Below are 20539 nucleotides of genomic sequence, written 5' to 3'. Positions count from 1 at the left end.
CTACCAGCTGACCCTTCCAGAGAGACCACCCTTGACCATGCTACCTAGGTTTTCTCTCCCATACATGCTTTAAGCTATGATCCATTACCGTCTTGTCTCTACAACATGCTTACCAAAAACTTTACACAGATAGACATATAGAAACTTGTTTATCTCCCATATTTCCCACTAGCCTGCAAGATTCATGAGAATAGGAACCATATCTCTCATTCATAATTGACTTCCCAGAACTGATGGCAGTGCCTGACACATAGTAGGTCCTCAGTAAAGATTTGTTGCATCAACTTTCAGTGCCAACCCTAATGCCTGGCACATCAGAGGCTGTCAGTAAATGCTTTTGAATTGAATTTATCTTGTTGCCATAGGACTTAGCAAATTCACATAAGCTGTATAAACTTATTCCAAGTGCCTAATATCCTGCCCACAGCAGCAAATTCTGCTGGCTTAGGACAAATGAATAAGGAAGATGCCTAAAAGCACAATCTAACTTCGGAACACCTTCTCTAGGACAAAGAAGTCAAGGCCAGTTTTAACTCTCCTTATCGGACTTGATTCCTCTGGTTCCTTGCTCTTCTGACCTATTTGTTTTTGGTGAAAACTTTGTTGTTTTTGTCCAGACGTTGCCAAGGTGTGTTATTAAACAGCTGGAGCTTTTTTATTTCATGGGTCTGAACAAGCAGCTGATAAGTTTTGCTTTGGGTTTGCCAAGGCTCATGATTTAAGCAGTTGAAATCACAGAGTCACTGAGCATCTTTCAAAACTCACTGGACCCAGAGCCAAGAGAACGTTTGGGATTTGTAATTTATGGTAAGAATGGCAGTAGTGCCATTGGGAAATACTTTGGCAAGATAACACATCGCTGTGATGCAGCAGTTAAGTTCCATGGTTTAGGCTGTGTGAAAATTAATTTGCAAAAATATTTGGGTCTGTTTTGTGTTCTAGTTTATATGTAAATTAGAAGATTGTACAAAAAGGATGCCAAGGATGATGGAATTCAAACATCGTCAGACTGGTTGTCCATTAATTAGAGTGATTCTTACTCTATTTTGCTTTATTTACATTTTCTCTCAACAGTAAGTTGTATTGATCAAGTAAAGACACAGCATTAGCTAATAAGCCATAATAATGGATGCTTTAAAAATAAAAGTTTAAACATCTGATTTTGGAGGATAGCCATGGAAACTAAGAGAAAAAAATTCAACAATATTTCTCTTACCTTGGAAATAGAGGCAGTGCCTGCCACAGCATTATATAACCCACTTTTGCTCCAAAAGGTGACACGGGTGTCTATAAACCTGAAAGATAACACTATGAAGGGTAGATGAAGGGTAGTTAAGTATCAGAACCTTGGATATAACTGACAGTTCTGCACAAACCCACAGGGCAAGTTTCTCACTCTAAATCTTGAAGCTTTCATTCATACGCCCATCCTTGCTCTGCATGTAAAGTGGGCCATCTGACTCCCATGCCCCAGTAGGCACAGGCACTTCATGGACGCCTGTTTTCACAGCCTTCGTCCTAAACCATTTCCCTAGAATCTAGATTACACCACATTTGCAGACCTAGTCTGGTCCATTCGGCACTTGAGTTCCCTAGACTAGCTTCAATATCTTAATTATTGTCCCAACACTTAACACCGCTCCTAACAGCACTGACTTCTCATTTTTATCTGCACTAAAACCTTGCCCGGTGCAGCTGACCCCAGGAACTATCCCTGGAGCAGCTCTTTGTGTGCAATCATCCCCATCAGGTCTCCTCAGAGGCCTGCAGATGGGACCCAAACACATCGCCTGAACTGAAGTCTTTTCACACCCAGGCCCTTCTATGTATGTTACTCCATGGTTGTATGGCTCCTTTAAAATCCTAAGTTTATTTAGAATAGTTGACTTTCAAAGCAGTTTGATTCAAACCTTTGCACTTGAAATTTATTTTAACTGGAAAATTGGCACTAATGTTATTCTTGATTTACCAAAAGAGAAATGATAGCAAAAGTCTTACAGGGGTCTTGGCAGCAATTAACTGAAATTTCCTAAAATGATCTGCTCATGTATAGAGCCTGCTGGAGAGGAAGGGGTTTAGAGCAGCAGAGGCTCAGTAGCACTGGAAATCTTGAGTAATGTTCTTTACTCTGTCCTTCCTCGCCTCTACCTGGCTGTGTGACCTAGAGTGGAGGACTTTACTCCCTGCCTCTATGGCCTTAAATCCATGTAATGAATTTAAGTCAGACGATCTCTAAGGTGGCTTCTATTTCTGAAAAGCTATTAATTCATAGCTGATTTAAAATCAGCCATCCAGGGGTAAATAAACTTAGATAGCAGTTCAGGGCTGGAGCCAATGAGGGACACAGCTGAGCAGGAGAGAGGTTTCTCACTTCTTCCTCGATTGGCTGAGCAGGTGATTAGCATCAGAGACGCAGGCTTTGATCGTGAAGTGGGGATATAAAACCCCGAAACTGTTCGTCATAAAGAATTCCATGCCCAATAAAAGAGAAGGCAGATGTTCGCATAAAGTTTTTCCTGTTTGTGTTTTTGCGGGGGTACTTTTTGGGCATGACGTTTATTAGTGAAGTACAGCAGCAGCTGCCCACCCATGTTGCCACATAATAGCAGTCTTATAATCCATTTATGGGCTTGGAATTATTTTTGTTAATGCTTTTCATGGGAGTAGATGAAATGCAATGTGCACCAGCTGTAACTACTTTAATCATGCAGCTGCCTTCTAGGGAGAGCCCTGCAAGCATCATAGATGTCTTCATTGTCAAAGAGGTTATTGTCTCACAGAGTTTTAAAGGTAAAGGGGTGCTGTATTACTTTTCCGTTACTGCCATAACAAATGATCACAACTGCATGGCTTAAAACAGCAGAAATTTATTATCCTACGTTTCTGGAGGTCAAATATATTCTCAAGGGGTTAAACATCATGGTATCAGCAGGCCTATATTCCTTACAGCAGGAAGCTCTAGGTGGAGAATCCATTGTCTTGCCTCTTCCAGCTTCTAGAGGCCACCTGCATTCCTTGGTTCATGTCCCCTTCCTCCATCTTCAAAGCCAGCAGAGTATTATCTTCTCTCCTGGCTGACCTCTGTTTCCATCTGTATATCTTTATATCTCTGACCCTCCTACATTTCTCTTATAAAGACTTCTGTGATTACATTGGGCCCACCCAGATAATCCTAGATAATCTCTCCATCCCAAAACGATTAACTTAATTACATCTGCAAAATACCCTTTACCATCTAAGATAGCATATTCACATGTTCTGAGGATTAGGATAGTAAACATCATTGGTGGAGAGCCATTCGGCCTACCACAGGAACCATGAAGAAGGTCCAAGGGACACATGACTTACCAAGGGCCACTCAGTTCACTTGTGGAGGTGCCATGACTATATCCCTGGCATGCTCACATTTGCCACTTGTGTGTGCGTTACGGACAAAGACTGCTAGGAGGATGCCCTAATGAAGGCTTTATTTTCATAATTTGAGATGATTGAGGGATAAATAAATATAAGATCAAGTCAGTGTTTTTTTTAAAAAAAAGTAGTTTAGAAAAGACAAGTTTATATTTATAATATAAGTGCATTCATAATGCAAGAACTTTCTTAAATATTGTAGTCTTGCTAGGACGTGGTACCTTCTAAAGGTGGAGTAACTTGTAGTGATAACATATTTTAAGAAATGATAAGAAATGAGAGGGCCGAGGAAGCCCATGCACATGTGTCAATGTTTCTCCTCTTCCTCCTCCTCCTCTTTCTCCCTCTGTAACTCAGGCCATTGCTACCATTTTGAAAGTCATTAATGACTAAAAAGCCAATTCAAACTCCTTAAACTAAAGGAAATGGTCTACCAGAGGCTTATTGGCATGGATGAAACCAAATTAGATATTTGTCATATTTTAAAATGAGACCCATCTTATTTTGATGTTGAAGTGTTTGTCTAGGCCAAGGAACTTATTTTTAGTTCTCCTCCCATGTCTGTTACAGTTGCCTATAACAAATAAGAGAGTCAAAGAATTTGAGTATCTTTGGCAAGTGTCTCCAAACTCCTCTTTTGCCTTAGTTTTCTCCATCTATGCTATAGGCAAGAATGATGGCTACTGTAAGTTAAAGCCTTTATTCAATTTAAGTTTAATTAAACTTGAGTTTCTGAGAGGACAGGTCCATTTAAGAAGGCTAATGTGATTGTTAGGCTCATCTTCTCCAGGAGTCACTCCCTGCCTCCCCTCTACCATGGCAGGATTGGCTTCCCCTCATCCGGAGTCTCATAACATACTCGACCTCACACTAGTGAGCCTCCCCAGTGTGTTAGTTGTTCTTGTGCTTACCTGCCTTCCTCGAGATTCAGCCTAACCCAGTGCGTGATGCCAAATAGGAGTTCACTGCATGTACTATGGGTGGATGAATGAATGGCCATATAATCTCAGGGGAATCTGAAGGACACATGGATCCAGAGACTCGATGGAAGTACTGAAAGGGGCAGGGAAAGGCTGAAAGTATAGTTTTGATCTTCACTGATATAAAATTAGTAGGTTGGCTCCCCACCCTTGCCCTGAAAACTTTCTTAAATAGAGAGAAATCGAACTGGAAATTGCCACAGAAATACATTCTAATAGAAGTTTTCATGTGACACTGAAAATGAGTGGACGGTTTCCTTTGGGTATTTGTGCTCAGCTCTTAATGTCATTTTTCTGCCTATCAAATGAACACCAATTCTTTATCTACAAGTACATTAGGTTAATGACACAGTGTTGAACTAAACAAAGATGAAGTCAAGTTGCTAAGCTCTTGTCTGGCATTGATTAGGGGGCTCATAAAATAAGTCACTCCCTCAGTTTAGTCTTGACAACCCAAAGAAAAACTTTGTGTACACTGAATGACACTTTCCTTGAAAAACTTCCAAATAGGATAAGGTTGATTTTCACATCGTTCTTGCCAGATAGGAAAAGCACAGCATCAACTCCAGGGAATTGCTAAATATTTGTGCTACCCCAGGCATATTGCAAAGATGATGAGACCTGAACAATGATGTTAGCATTAAAGTGTTAATGATGACTGCAGTCAACAAAGAAACTGCAGGATGAGTGGGCCTCAAACAAGAAAATCTGATGACAAGAGACCATGCAGGTAAGACTTAGAGAAGTGGACCAAGATTCAGACCAGGAAAATACCATAGCAACCCCCAAGGATCTCCATGGGTGGGAACATTTGGTGGTTCTCTTCCATTTTACCACGTTTGTACATAGCTCTGTTTATTTATGTTGTTTCCCCAACCTGCTACTCAGCCTAATTCTATAATTTCTTTTTGTTTCTAGTTCCTTCTTTCTGGGGATTGGTGAACTCAGCTTGGAATCTTTGCTCTGTGGGGAAACGGCAGTCGCCAGTCAACATAGAGACCAGTCACATGATCTTCGACCCCTTTCTGACACCTCTTCGCATCAACACGGGGGGCAGGAAGGTAAGCCACCATATTGCTTCCATGGTAAAGTTGAAGATGGGGCCATCTTGATTCTGAAAGCTAATCCTCAAGGCTTCAGTCTCTGTGATGAGTTTGTCCTCCCACCTAGGAATACCACAGACTTCAGACCTGCCGCCATTAGATAGAAATATGTCTAAATTGTGCTTTTTCTCCCTAACTAGTCAAACTTTTGTGCTTCTGATTACTCTGTACCTCCTGGAGGTTGCCTGAAGTCTTATCAGACAACCTTGGTACCCCCATAAAGGACAGAAAGCATAGTGGCCACCCCTGCCTATCATGCTGGGAAAATCTTTCCTCTAAGAAACTGCTTTACTAGGCCTTCTTTTAACCTCAGTGAAGTGAGAAAACCAATTAACAAAAATAAAATCAGACGTTCATCATCTTGGGAGGAAAAAAACAGACAAAAATCACCTTAGATGATTTATAAGAAAATCAATAATTAATCTTCCTAGGGGCATCTTGCTTGCTAAGAATCCTAGCTCCTGCACAGAAATGCTGAGCTGGGCTTTGTGATTCTCACACCTAAATCCCTCCTTCACTCTCCTCCCCCCATAACGAGCTCCTCTTTAATTTGTGGAAGGGCACAAGTGCCCATTGGGTCTTCTCATCACTGGAATCTTAGCACTTCTCTTGCTGGTTCATGTCTACTTGGCTATCTTTTACTGTTGAGTAGGTTGTTAAAGGTAAAAAAAAAATGCACATGCAGAAAATTGTGTTCAAAGGTAATTTAGCTATTGTTAAGAGAAATGGAAAATAATTTGTGTGCAAAAAATTGAGGTTAAAATTATTGACAACTTTTGATAATACCAGCGGCTGATTCTTCAGGGTTTGGGTCATTGGGCTCTGTTCTCTCTTCCTTTGTGCAGTCTGTTCACCATAAATACCATGAAGTTTGTAAGTTAACTTTTTCCCCTTCTGATGTATTGAAATATATTTTCTTGTACCATGTAACTGTCACAGATACACACACCCCTAATGACTCATCAAAAAGCTGTAAGTGACTTTGACTCAGGTCACAAAGCAGGTTTTAAAAGACATTGCATGTGGTCGACACCATTTAGTTATGCAGTATTTGTGTACTGTTTTAAATATGACTTGAGAAGCATTTTTGTGGAAAGGTCATATATAGGTCATTTAGTTTATTGCTCTGATTCCATATAAAACGATGCTATCCTAATTATTGTTCCATTTATAGTTTTATTTTTATAAATTCTGCAAGGAGCTTGTCATGGCTTCTAAGTACATTTCTCTTTAAAAAGGTGAATTATTTATTTAAAGTCGTGAACACGTGTGAGTTCGCTGGTCAGTATTTAAGAAGGAAAAGTTGTAGTTATGATTAAATATTCAGTCATTCTTTCTTTCTTGGAGAGGGTGATGTAGGGGATAATTGCATTCTAGGCAAAAGGAAAAGCAGGGGGTGGAAAAGCCCAAGATACAGAATGGGGTTTGGTGCCTGAGTTCCAGAATGCAGCTGAAAGGTAGCCAGCAAGGCTGAACACAGGGAGCGAAGAGAGGCTTGCAAGATGGTAGGCTAGAGAGGACAGCAGAGGGCAGGTCCTGAGGCAGTGTTCGGGAGCTGAATCCTTCGCCTACGAGTTATGGCAAGCATTTGAAGGGGTTTTAGATAAAGTACAGATTGGGATTGAGATGGAAAATGTGTCAAACTAACACAAACAATGGATATATAATTTTTACTTTCCATCAGAATGTCTTAAAGGAAAAATGTTGATGTGAAAGAAAAAAATGTCAACACAGCTTCTCCCTAAAATTTATTGGGAAAGAAGAGATTGGGAGATAGTCTAGTGTTAAAAATCACTCACATGTTATGACTTGGGTTTTTTTTTGTTTTAGAGATATTTTTTGAACAGATGATTTTGTATCTTTCCAATTCAGGAAAGTATACCTGATCCAAACCAATTTTCAAATGCATTGGAGTTTGGAATCTTGGCAACATTTACTTTTCATGATGTAAATATTTATATCTGGCACAATTTTTGTTGTCAGTGGTTTGAAGAGCTGAGAACTGTCTGATGGTTCCTTTTGCATTTGTGAAAGGTAGAAAATAAAATATAGTTGGTCGTGATAAACTAATTGGTAATGAAATGCCTTAATTTGCTAGGCAATAGGTAAATCATGTTTGTATCACATTTTGAAGGTGATGTTTAATGAGTTGGAAACTTGTTTTGAAAGTGAGAATTCAAATCACTGCTCTGATTTTTGTTTTCCCTTAAAGAAATACCCAACTTAATCGATTTGAAAATCACCCTGTAAGACTGGGAAGTTTTGTTGAATTTGGGCAAGATGTCACATTTTGAAGTCTGAGCCAAGCTGGGTGTCAGTACGTGAAATGCAGCCTAGTAACTACATGTTTTGTGTCGCATTTTTATCCACAAGCATTATTCTTTCTGGTGTTCAAGTGTATCTTATGCACAAAACTGTGATGCAGCTCTCTGGAAGCCCCTGACTTGCGTTACTATGTTTATTTTAACATATTTGACCTGACATTGGGCTCAAATGAAGGAACAAGGGCTTTCCTTACCATAGTTTAAGGCTAAAATTCAACCTCAGTACAAGAATAGCAAGGAATAATAGTTATTCCTTCTCATCCTATGCACTGTGCCTTGAGTGTAATAGAAAATATTCATTTTTATTTAAAAATGAGATTTATTTCACCTTTTAGCCTCATGTGACAGGTTGCAGTCAAAATGCAGTTCAAACTGTGTTTCATGCAAAAAGTTATTTAAAATATTGTATATAATTACCTTCAGGCTATCTACATAAGACATAATGTATATGAAACATACATGAATTTTTTGTTTCGACTTGGATCCCATCCCCAATAAATCTCATTAGATATATGCAAGTATCCAAAATTAGTAAAATTTGAAGCACTTATGATCCCAAACATTTTGCATAATGAATATTAAATCTGTAATTGTATTTTTACAAATGGCACGCCCTTAAGGCTGGGTTGTATGTAGATATAAGACTCCTACCTTGGAACCAATCTCCACCCTTTGACCCTGTTAAATTTAACATCCAATTGCTACATTGTTTGGAGCTAATTAATCCATTCTAGTTAAAGCTACTAAATTAACTTAATCAAAAAGAGGAGGTTGGGGAGATAATTCTTTGTGGTTTCAGGTTGCTTAAAGTTTCCATATATGAAGAAGTTTGATTATGATATAAATGATGTTTTACACTGAGTTAAGCCTCACTGACTGTTTTAAAGATTGAGACCCTTGTTAGCCATTGAACTTGTAAAATTTCACAAAAATGTTCACCTTTCATGTCTTTTTGCTCAGACCAAAGTGAGTGTACGCAGTGTGTTTGTGTTTTAATTTTAGTGTATAGTCACATAAGTGAGATTCTTGGTAATTTGAAAATGAAATACAGGATGAGAAGGTTACCGCAGAGTAAAATATGGATAACTTCAATCAATTATTTTGGAATATAGATATTTGCTTTGAGGATTTGATATAGGTGGGTATTGAAAGGTCGTGAGTTTAGCTTTCAGGAAGGAAATATGGCACATAGAAACCTATCTGCTGATCTAAAATATCTAAAAGGAGAAAAAACATATTAAAACTGAGACTAAAACCCACTTGCCGATTCTATCATTTTAACCAAAACTCAGTTCCGTCATCTTTTCTCATCTTTTAACTCATTTAATAAAATAGACACCTCAGTAGTTAAGGACATGACAATTGCTTATCATATGTTAAGTATAAAAAGTAGGATCTGTCATATGTTAGGTATAAAAGGTAGGATCTAAACATAATTATCATATATTAAGTATAAAAGGTAGGATCATATGTTAAGTATAAGAAGTAGGATCTAAGTATAAAAGGTAGTTGATGACACGACAAATCCTTATCATATGTTAAGTATAGAAGGTAGGATCTAAAAAAGAGACTGGGATGAAGGATAATACTGTTTTATTTTTTCTTTTCTAAAGTTTCTAGATTTGCTAAAACAGACTTGCATTAATTTGGTAATCTGAAAAATACGTATGTTCTAACCTCTCTTTCCATTTCATTTGAAAATATATTTGGAGTTGATAAATGTGGTAGACAGAATAATGTCCCCTTCCAAAAATGTCCACATCTTAATCCACAGGACTTCTAAATGTGTCACTTTACATAGCAGAAGGTATCTTGAAGATATGATTAAATATAGGATTTTAAAACTGGAAGGTTACCCTGGACTATCCAGGCAAACCCCTTGTAACCATAGAGTCCTTAAAAGGAAAAGACAGAAGCAGGAGAGTCCGAATCAGAACAGAGACGTGAGGATGGAAGCAGAGGTCGGAGTGACACAGGGCCATGAGCCAAGGAGGCCTCTGGAAGCTGCAAAGCGCAAAGAAACAGATTCTTCCTTGGAGCTTCCAGAAGGAATACAGCCCTACTGACACTTTAATTTTAGCCCAGCAAAACTGATTTCAGATTTCTAACTCCCCAAATATAAGATAATAAATTTGAGTTCACTTGAGCCACTAATTATGGGGTAATTTGTTGCAGTGCCAAAAGGAATCTAAAATAATAGATGTGAACATAAAGATTATACTGGTTTACTAACCACAAATCAACAAATTATTTTTAAAACTTTTTGGCATTTTTGTAAAATTATAGTCAGAAACAGCCTTTTTCCTGTACAACAGGGAAACAATAAAAATGAATCTAATCACAGATTCATAGCAGCTTAGATTTGTGAGAGCACCTTTGGAAGCCAGCTCCTGACACTTCCAGTCCAATGCTGTGGGGTCTAAGTTCCTCTCCACTCTCAGTATCATCTTGTCATTTCTAGGAGTTCTTAACTACCGATAGTTCTTCATATGGGTCCTGTGTTTGGTCTCTGCTGCAGAATATTTGACAGCCATTTTTTCTTTAACCATTTTAAAGTGGATGGTTCAGTGACATTGAGTACATTCAGGCTATTGTGCAGTCATCACAACTATGCATTTTTGTAACTTTTTTATCATCCCAACTTGAAACTCTGTACCCAGTAAACAAGAACTCCCCATTTTCCATCCCCCTCAGCCCCTGGTAACCTCTGTCCTACGTTCTGTTTCTATGAATTTGCCTGCTCTAGGTACCTCATATAAGTAGAATTACATAATATTTATCTTTTTTATGTCTGGCTTATTTCACTGAGCATAATGTTTTCAAGGTCCATCCATGTTGGAGCATGTATCAAAATTTAATTCATTTTTAAGGCTGAATAATACTCCATTGTATGTATATACCACATTTTGTTTGTCTGTTCTTCTGTCGATAGACATTTGGGTTGCATCCAGCTTTTGATTATTGTGAATAAGGCTGCAATGAAAATTGGTATACAATGAACTGTTTGAGTCCCTGCTTCCAGTTTTTCTGGGTGTATGGCAAGGAGTGGAATTACTGGGGCATATCTATGTTTAACTTTTTGAGGTTTGTCACACTTTTTTACACAGTGGCTATACTATTTTACATTCTCATCAGCAACACACAAGGATTCCAATCTTTCCATATCCTCACAGAAACTTGTTGTTTTTTTTTTTTTGTTATTTATTTTGAAATAGCCATCCTAATGGTTGTGAAGTGATCTCTCACTGTGATTTTGATTTACATTTCCCTAATGAATTGGCAGACTTTCACAGACATCCAGTACAAGTTTTTGGAATACAACCTGTTCCTGATACAGAGGGTAGAAGATCTTGAAACCTCTGAGAAGGAGATAGGTTGTAGAAATAATTGACCTTAGCCTAATGGCACAGTCAGGAATATAAGAAGTAAAAAGAAGCAGGGTGCAGTGGCTTGCACCTGCAATCCCAGCTCCCCAGAAGGCTTAAAGCAAGAGGATCACTTGAAGCCAGGAGTTCAAGACCAGCCTGAGCAACATAATAAGACCCCATCTTTAAAAAGAGAGACAGAGAAAGAGAGAGAAGCAAAAAAGAGAAGAAGCTGGCCATCAGCAGACTGAAGACCTACATTGGTTATCTCAAAGAAGCTGATTTTTCCCCATATCTTCAGGTTTTTTGTTTGAAATTTTGCCCAGCAAAGGCTAAAACTACTGTTGTCGCCAATTTCCTTTTGATTTCTGGATACCTGGGGATTATATCAGGGAGAGTCTCAGCAAGAGACATGGAACATGTTGAGTCATGAGGATCCCTCATAGAGGGACCGTTTATAACCACCCCAGGTCTGGAAGGGGTGAGGAGAGGGAGTGAGGACCAGAACCTGGAGACCAAATGAACCAACCATGGAGAGGAACACCTGACCTTCAGTGAGGGAAGCAACCAGCTCAGGGCAACCCCTAAGGGTGGAGCTGGGGAACAAGGCTCTGACTGCACTCCTTTCCTCCCCTCTTATGGAAAGAAGGCAGAAGCCAAAGGAGCTTGTTGAATCAGTCCATGCAAGCCAGCCTCCAAGCCCCTAAGCAAGGTAAAGATGGATCCAAATGGACGATCGGAAGACATCCAACACAAAGCTATAGGTGTATCTACATGGAAGTTTCCACATTTCCCATGAAATAAATACGAGCTAATAAAACTCTTAATTGCTTATAAATCAGGTATAAATGCTTCAGCCTGGCATTCACAGCCCTTGTAATACAGCACCAAATCTCCTTTCCACAGACATTTGCATTATACTTCGTACATACCTTTTGTTCCCAGTGAGAGTGTAAACTTTAAAAAACAAACAAACAAAACAAACAAAGTGAATGCATCTCTCCTTTTCCTGGGATCTGTGCTTTGGCCACAATATACCCTTCACCCCACTTGCCTAAGGAGTCCGAACCCCTGCTTTTAACCTCTGTGGCTCCAATACTATCTCTTAAATTCCTCTTGATCTCTTTAGCTAACTGTGAAATCTCTCTTTATTTGGCTTCTTAAGCACCTTACTTATATTTATTTTAGGATCTGAACCTTGGCCTGTAATATTAATATCGCTTTCCTTGTAAGGAATAGTAAGACAAATATACTATAGATATTAGCCCTTAGATTAAGAGCTCCTTATGATAAACATGCTTTCATATTTTCATTTTATATCCTTGGGGTTATCCATGACAGCGCTGACTGATTTGAATGGAACCAAGAGTACCCTTGCTTACCAAGAAATGCGTTTAGGTGGAATTCACCAAAAGTTGCTACGATCCAAGGTGGGGGGAATGTGAGAAGGCCCATGGGGAAAAGAACTTTGCTATCCACAGAATCTGTTACTAAAACTAATTTTCAGTTATGTTTTTTATGACTATTAAAATAAGTTGAAAAAATAAGAAATGTGAATTGGTTTGGTATTTAAAATCTTATCACTTCTCTATTTTAAAATTTTCCTCTGAACCTGATTGCAAAATTTAATCATTGCCATTCACGGCATGTCCACATTGCTATGTTCTGAAACCTCTTATGTTTGAGGCTTTTATGTTCCTTCAAAAAATTTACGATATATTTGGGGAGAAAATATAGACACACAGAAGCTAAATGGCAGTAACTGATTTAAATAACTATTTGAGATAATAGCGGTATAGATATTAAGAAATGATTAATTAGCAAATCAATCATCTTGGCATTAATGTTTTAATAGAGTGAGAAGTTGGGTTTGTCAAACAAGACTTTATGGAAGAGGTAGGATATGAGCTAGCATGAAAAGGGAGATAGAAAGAAATGTAACTTGCAGGAGGATCTTAAATGTCAGATGATCTTACTCTATATGCAGAAGGTGGAAAGAAAACAAAAAGGTCGATCAATTTTGTCATCTAAATGTGTTGCCGTGGTGCTGGTTTTTATTGGATAACTGATGTTAAATTTTCCTGGATAAGTATCCTTACCCATTTAAAACTCAATAGCTGTCTTTAAGCACCAAAGGTCTTTTTACACTGAAACTCTGATATGAAAATGGTATGTATAATTTTATGTATGTTTGTGGGATACAGCAGATCTTTAAGAGCTGCTGAAGAAGTGGATGCAATTCTTACTCATCTGTATTTTGTGGTTAGACAAATTCCTTTATTGACATATCAATTATATCCTTTCCAGGAGAAAGTGATAGGGGTCTGGTTATTTAATTCTAACCAACAAGGAAAGGCTTAGTGATGTGGAGTGGACAGTAACTCTAGGAAAAAGTAGGTGTGTTATCTTAGAAATAATGGTAGCAAGGTTAAAAAAAGAAAAAAAGCTAGGCATTGTCAGACATGGATATGAAAACTTCAAAAGGCAGATTTTTAAAATATCATGATTAAAATTGATGTGATCTCATTGCTTCATGGAAGATGGCTCTAGTGGATTGGGAAGCTCTTAAAAATAAGATTATGGTGATAGAATCACAAACGATAGTACCGAAAAAGGAACTGGCAGGAGCTAAAGATATCGAAGTGGCAGCACGGGGAATTTTATGAGAAATAATATTGTTAAATGGCATGTAGAGATGCAGGAGAAAGGGCTTAGAGCCAAGGAGGACCAGAGGAGAAATCATTTGTCAATGGTTTCACAGAGAATCAAGCCCAGGACAAGTTGAAGTTTCCAGAAAATGAGGAGCACTTTAAAAAGTTGTGGTTAGAGGAAAGCAGGATAAGCAAGACAATGTATACCTCCATTTGGGAGAGAATACATGGCCATGGATGACCAGATGTGAGAACTGAGTTTGAATTTTAGATTGCTACTGTCTAGCCAGCACTATCGTAGATAAATGTGAGAAGGTGCTGGTTGATTCAAAATGAACCAAGATTATCTTTGATTACTAAACAAAGGGTTTATTTGGCTTAACTTCTCTAAGCTTCAGTTTCCTCATTTGTAAAAGGAGCATCATCATTCTACCTTCCTTGCAGGGTGGTGGTGGAGAGAATTATATGAAAAAATGCACTTAGTAGGCAGGTAATAATGCAAGTTATCAAGCCAATGACTGGCAGAGAAGAACATGCTGTTAGCTACCATCACAGGTGTTTTTGTTTTCAGCAAGAAAACATAACTCCCAGTTGAATTTCTTTGTCAGAGAAACTAATGTTTGCATTAGAATTCATAGCATATGTAGAGAGAGGTGAAGTGATTTCAACTCTATGGAAGACAGAAGAAGAATTCAGAGCCACCTCGCTAGTACCCCAAACCCAAAAGGCATAAAGATAAAACTTTCCTCTCAAACTATATTTACATAAAATGTCACAGATTCAGGCCGAGCAACATATTCTGTAAGAACACTACATGTGAAAAAGTACAGGAAGTTAATGAATAATATGCTCAGTTGAGTAAATAGCACAGGGGAAATGCCAAGAGATGAATTCAGTCTAATTACACAGTACCTGAGGTTCTACATCCATGACAAGTGAGGCCATTGTCATGCAATACCCTTCACTGAGAAGACAGTATCTGGAATGTTAGCATCAGTTCCCCTAGTGCTGACAGTAAGGTTAACTAATAGAAAACACATTGACACAGTAAAGTACAGAAGAAGAGGAAGAAAGTAATGAAAAATCAAAATGTTTTATATTCAGTTTTCTCTGTCTATGCATCTATTGGAAAGGAAAATATTTTAAGAAGTCATTACAGCTGATTTTAAATGTACCTTTTCTGTGCAGGCTCAGACATAGGGGAGAACTAGCTCTGCTGTTTGAAAGTAACTTTGGCCAGACTTCAATTCAAAATAAGAATTCAAGCTATGTGAAAATTGAATGACCTTCTGTTTCATGGAGACCCGTGGCACAGAAAGAGTTCTGATGGGCACTGAGGGGTACTTGAAATTGTAGAACACAATGAGGCATCAGATGAGAGCTTTGACTTGACCTGTGAATCCCCTTCCAACCTTGATGTACTTTGATTCTGTATGAGCAGTGGTTAGATGGGACGTGTGGAATATATTTGCTTGCAGCCATCCTGGAATGAAGATTTAACTAGGATGTAAATCCTCCTAAAGGAAAACACCCTTTAAAGCACTAACATTGGAAGAAACTTGCATTGTCCTCTTATTAACCACTATCAAAATTATTCCTCAAAGTTTTGGATACAGGCTCTCTCCTTTGGTATATTGTACTCTGAGTAGCTGGAATGAAGGATTCAGAGCAAAATGAATGTTATAAAAGAGGATTTTGATTACAGATTTTAAAATGAGATCAAGGTAGTTGTGTTTATACTCAGAGCAGAGCTTTTTGCAGGGAGCGGAAGATTTCAGTGCATAGCAGTGAAAAGTGATGAAAGATAAGCAAAATGTGAAAGTCTAAGATGCTGTATTTTAAGTTGGGAAATGGATTCAGTGCAGAAGCATTCTGTTGTGGGTATCAGGTTCTCATGCACCATTGCTGAGTTTAGATCTTGGCTGAGGATTGCCGCTCACTGTCTTGGCAGTTCTTTGTAATGTTTACCTCTTGACATCATCCAGAAAATCAATGCAGAGTCATTAGGCAAATCTCCCAAGGAAACACCTGGTTGTTGGCTTTAGTATTTCATAAGTGTCTCTAATTCTCTCTCATTCTTTACTCCTCCTGTGGGTATTAGAAAGGACTTTACTCTTCTTTCCTGCATCATGTTCCTTTATTTCTCTATACTTCTTCTCATTTTTTCTCATTTTTTCATCTCTTTTACTCTCTTAGCCTTTTCTTTTCTCTCCAGTCTTTATCTCCAACCTCCTCCCTCCCTTTCATCATTTCCCTGTGTCTCTTTCCCTGTCCTTCTTTCCCTGTCCTTTCACTTCCTCTTTTCTCCTGGTTCTGTATACATATGACCAAGGAACATGTGCCTTCTCTTTTCTGTATGAGTGAAATTGGTTCTCCACTTTCATGGAACATTTTAACTAAACACAGAAAGATTGACAGTTGTACAATTTTAGTGACGGTACTTAAATGAGAGAAAATTCAAGTTATCCCAGAACTGAGTATAATTTTTATTAAAAATTATAGAAGGACTAGCTTGAGATGTTTAATTAATTTATAGGCAGATGAATTCCTACAAGAGAGAATGTTTTCCAGGAATCTCATGAGTTCAGTAGCCATCACATCATACCACTTTAGTTTTCTGGTTACATAATCCCACAGATAAAACTAACAGGCATTTGGCCAGGAGCAGTGGCTCACGCCTGTAATCCCAGCACTTTAGCAGGCCAAGGCAGGCAGATCATGGGGTCAGGAGTTCAAGACCAGCCTGGCCAATATGGTGAAACCCCGTCTCTACTAAAAAATTACAAAAATTAGCCAGGTGTGGTGGTGCGCACCTGTAGTCCCAGCTACTCGGGAGGCTGAGGCAGGAGAATTGCTTGAACCAGGGAGGTGGAGGTTGCAGTGAGCAGAGATCGTGCCACTGCACTCCAACCTGGGCGACAAAGTGAGACTCCATCTCAAAAACAAACGAACAATCAAACAAAGAGAACAACTAACAGGCATTTTACAAAACAACCAGCCTCTTAAACATAGGCAACAAAATGTGTTATTCACATAATACTGCTTGCAGCTCAGCTCTCTTACCATCCATCTAAACATGGGAGAGAAAAGAAAAAAACATGAGCTAAGTTTTACAGACTAGCTCCACCTGTCAAGCAGCCTGAGACAAATGGTTTTACATTAGTTAAAAAGGTAAGACTGGTAGATCTCCTGGACAGCGGCAGAAACAGTCACACACACCCAAGATAAGCTTTTGATGCTGATCTTAAAAAGCTGGTATCAGTTGTACATTCTCTCCAAGAAGGCTCTGAAATTGGTCGATCTACTCCTTGTAAGCCTGACCATTTGAATAAACCCACAAAGTTGTTCTATGTAAACCTCAGACACTTTGAATCCTATTAAAGGGATATTATTGCCTATAAACCAGGTATCTTTGGTTGGAAAATTAAAATAAAAATAAATAATAATATATCTACTACCTCAGAAAAGAAAAGAAATATAGTAGATTCTTTTTGAAGGACTTAAGAAAATGCTCATTTTCTTCTAAGCTTGGTTTCTGAAACAAAAGAACCAAATTAAAACTGAAAAACTGGAATAAATAATGCAATTTGAGGAGTCTATGCAGCGTAGGCAGTTGAACATCTGAGCAGCTCCCAGACTTAATTTTTCTGATGAAGATTTAATGTCATATAGATACAACTTTATTAATGTTGCACGAAAGATTAAGAATAACTAAAATAATCCATCTCTTTCCAGTATCTCATATTCTTAACGTTTTAAAAAGTTAGATGTTTTAGTTCCTTGCTCTGTAGTATGCTAGGGCCAAAATCCAAACTGCAAATAATGTGAAAATAAGCCATTCAGCCTAATATCTGTTTTTCTCATAGAGCAAACCCAGTGTCTATTCAGTAAGGCGAGAGTTTTATTTTGTTAATGTTATCTTTGCCCACCTGATGTTCTGAACAGATTAGTGTTGTGTTTTTACTCAGATCTTCATCAGATGTAACACTTGATAGGATGTTAGTCCATTCTGGCCCTTAGCTCTGAAACATGCATGCTCTAACCCACATGAAACATTTACATACAATATCATAAGATGAAGGTACATGATTTCATTTTTACCAGTGGGTGAAAATGTATACACGCACACAGTTTGGTACGTTATATCTAATAGAAACCTATCAAACTAGCAGCATCTCATCTGCCTAAAAATATTTTCTGCCACCTTCCTATCAAGAATATTTTTCACATCTCATCTAAGGAGCAGAGATTTTTCTCAATTTGCATTTTCCTCTGAAATATTCAGAAACTATTTTTTTTAAGTTAAGGAAAAGCCACTCTTGCTTCCTTTTAAGCCAAGTAGCTATTTTCACTATTCTCAGTATAAGCAAAATGCATTACTTGCACTATGATGGAGAAAATGAATACACATTATACTTAGTATGTTGCTATTTAATGCATCGTTGCTAGGTAGGTTTGAATACAGAAATCAATTCAGTGTTTGTTGACTCTCACGTCATTTATTCTGAGCTTGTCAAATTCAAATAGAATAAGAGTTTCACAAAATTATCTGTTCAAAATAAGTGTTGTGTCACCCTTCCAGAGTCTGATGCTGTCTAAGCATAGGTTTAGAGCTTGAGATGAGAATTCTTATGCAAATAATTTTCTGAAGAAGTTTCTCACGTGAAAGCTGCCAGGGAATGGGGGAAGTAGGCCTGGGGAGAAGTTCAGCAAAGATGATAGTTTAACTGGAGTCCAACCATAGCCTGATCCCACAGTAATATAGTTGGGATATTGTGCCCTCCAAATCTCATGTTGAATTATAATCCCCAATATTGAAGGTAGGGCCTGGCAGGAGGTAATTGGACCATGGGGGTGGATTTCCCATGAATGGTTGAGTGCCATCCTCTTGGTGCTGTACTCGTGAGTGAGTTCTCACTAGGTCCAGTTGTTTAAAAATGTGTGGCATCTTCTTCCTTACTGGCTCTTGTTCCTGCTTTTGCCATGTGACTTGTCTGCTGACACTTTTTCTGCCATGAGTAAAAACTCCCCGAGGCTTCCCCAGAAGCTAAGCAGATGCCAGTGCCATGCTTATATAGCCTACAGAACTGTAAGCCACTTAAACCTCTTTTCGTTATAAATTACCCAGCCTTGGCTATTTCTGTATAACAATGCAAGAACAGCTTAACATACACAGGGACCTCCTAAGCGTGAATAACACCAAAGTGCTCTCATCCTGCCATGCACTCCTAGGGTCTAGGGAGGCAGCCTTCAGTACCTTCTGAAAGGCACATCTCTTCCCTGGTATTCCCAGGCAAGGTGTCTCCTGTACAGTGGTATCCTTAAGGAGCTGGCTTATCCTGCCTTTCAGAGCCCATCATGTGTATCTATTCCCACCTCCACATTGGGTGCCATCAAGGTGGTGACTTGAAATCCACCATGGTAGGGGTGTTAACACCACAGAAATCTGCAAATGCTACATATAAGCCCCCTTTTTTATCTGGAGAGCTGGATGATAGAGATTTATCAGCACACAGCACACCACTGTTCTTAGAGGTCAAGGGCAATTCCCAGAAGAAAGGTGAGTTGATTGCAGTCAAAATTAATAGAAACTGGGGGACATGTCTAGTGGCCTTAAAAAGTAAACCCAGGTGGATCACCAACTATTGTAGCTGGTGTTGGAAAGAAAGCCTCAGATTAGTTACAAATATTCATATCGGAAAGGACTCCGGTGGCCATGGTTTGGCCTCCTGAAGAATGATTCCAACGGAACTGCCTGTGCCCTGTATTTCAGGTCCCCCAGGCCCAGTTGGCACTACCTCATTCCAAAGATGAGGGGCAGGGGAGAGCATAGGCTTGATTATATGGAGCTATGACTTTTCTTACTTTCATCTTAATTCCTCTTTTAATACAACTTTGTATTAGTCTGCTTTCATACTGCTGATAAAGATATACCCAAGGCTGGGTAATTTATAAGGGAAAAGAGGTTCAATGGACCTACAGTTCCACATGGCTGGGGAGGCCTCACAATCATGGTGGAAGGTCAAAGGCATGTCTCACACGGCAGCAGACAAGAGAATTTGTGCAGGGAAACTCCCTTTTATAAAACCATCAGATCTCATGAAACTTACTCTCACAAGAATACCATGGGAAAGACCCATTCCCGTGATTCAATTACCTCCCACCAGATCCGTCTCATGACACATGGGAATTGTGGGAGCTACAATTCCAGGTGAGATTTGGGTGGGGACAAAGCCAAACCATATCAATCTTCTTTCTTTGCTTGCCTCCTCCAAGACCATAGTCCTTCTAGTGGCACCTTTGCAATGATAAGGATGGCATATAGGTATGGCTTTTGCCTAATGCCTTTGCAGTCACAATGTTCTCAACTTCTTTACCAGTTTAAGCTTCTACCCCTCCAGAGCCTGGGAAGTCCTGGGCTATTTCACAACCCAGGTGGCAACCAGCTTCTGGCCAATGACACTGTTTCCAGCAGCGTAGCATGCAACAATGTGAATGCATGCTGGAAATACGTTCAAAATCTAAAGAGAGGAAATAGAGGGGAGCTTTTAGGCTTCTTCAAGTATGTGATCTTTATTCTACAAATTGCCTTTTAATGATTCACAGTTTCTGAATCTAAAAGGTAAGGTTTTTTTTTTTTTAACCAAAATCTTAATAGCAGTGAGGAAATAGCCCTATGCCAAGCAGTTTGGGTCCATGCTGTTC

At 38.8% G+C, this 20539-nt stretch overlaps 1 protein-coding gene across 3 annotated transcripts in view; it reads left to right on the top strand.

Annotated features, from left to right (window-relative positions):
- The window catches only part of CA10 (carbonic anhydrase 10), a 529711-nt gene that overhangs the window by 223582 nt on the left and 285590 nt on the right, over window positions 1-20539 (top strand). For all 3 annotated transcript variants that reach the window (NM_001082533.1, NM_001082534.2, NM_020178.5), the window contains one exon: window positions 5310-5452. In NM_001082533.1, the coding sequence (NP_001076002.1) occupies window positions 5310-5452 (143 nt within the window). The remainder of the gene's footprint in view (window positions 1-5309; window positions 5453-20539) is intronic.

This window comes from Homo sapiens, chromosome 17 (genome assembly GCF_000001405.40).
Source record: "Homo sapiens chromosome 17, GRCh38.p14 Primary Assembly".
NCBI lineage: Eukaryota > Metazoa > Chordata > Mammalia > Primates > Hominidae > Homo > Homo sapiens.
This window is presented reverse-complemented; position numbering and strand designations above follow the sequence as displayed.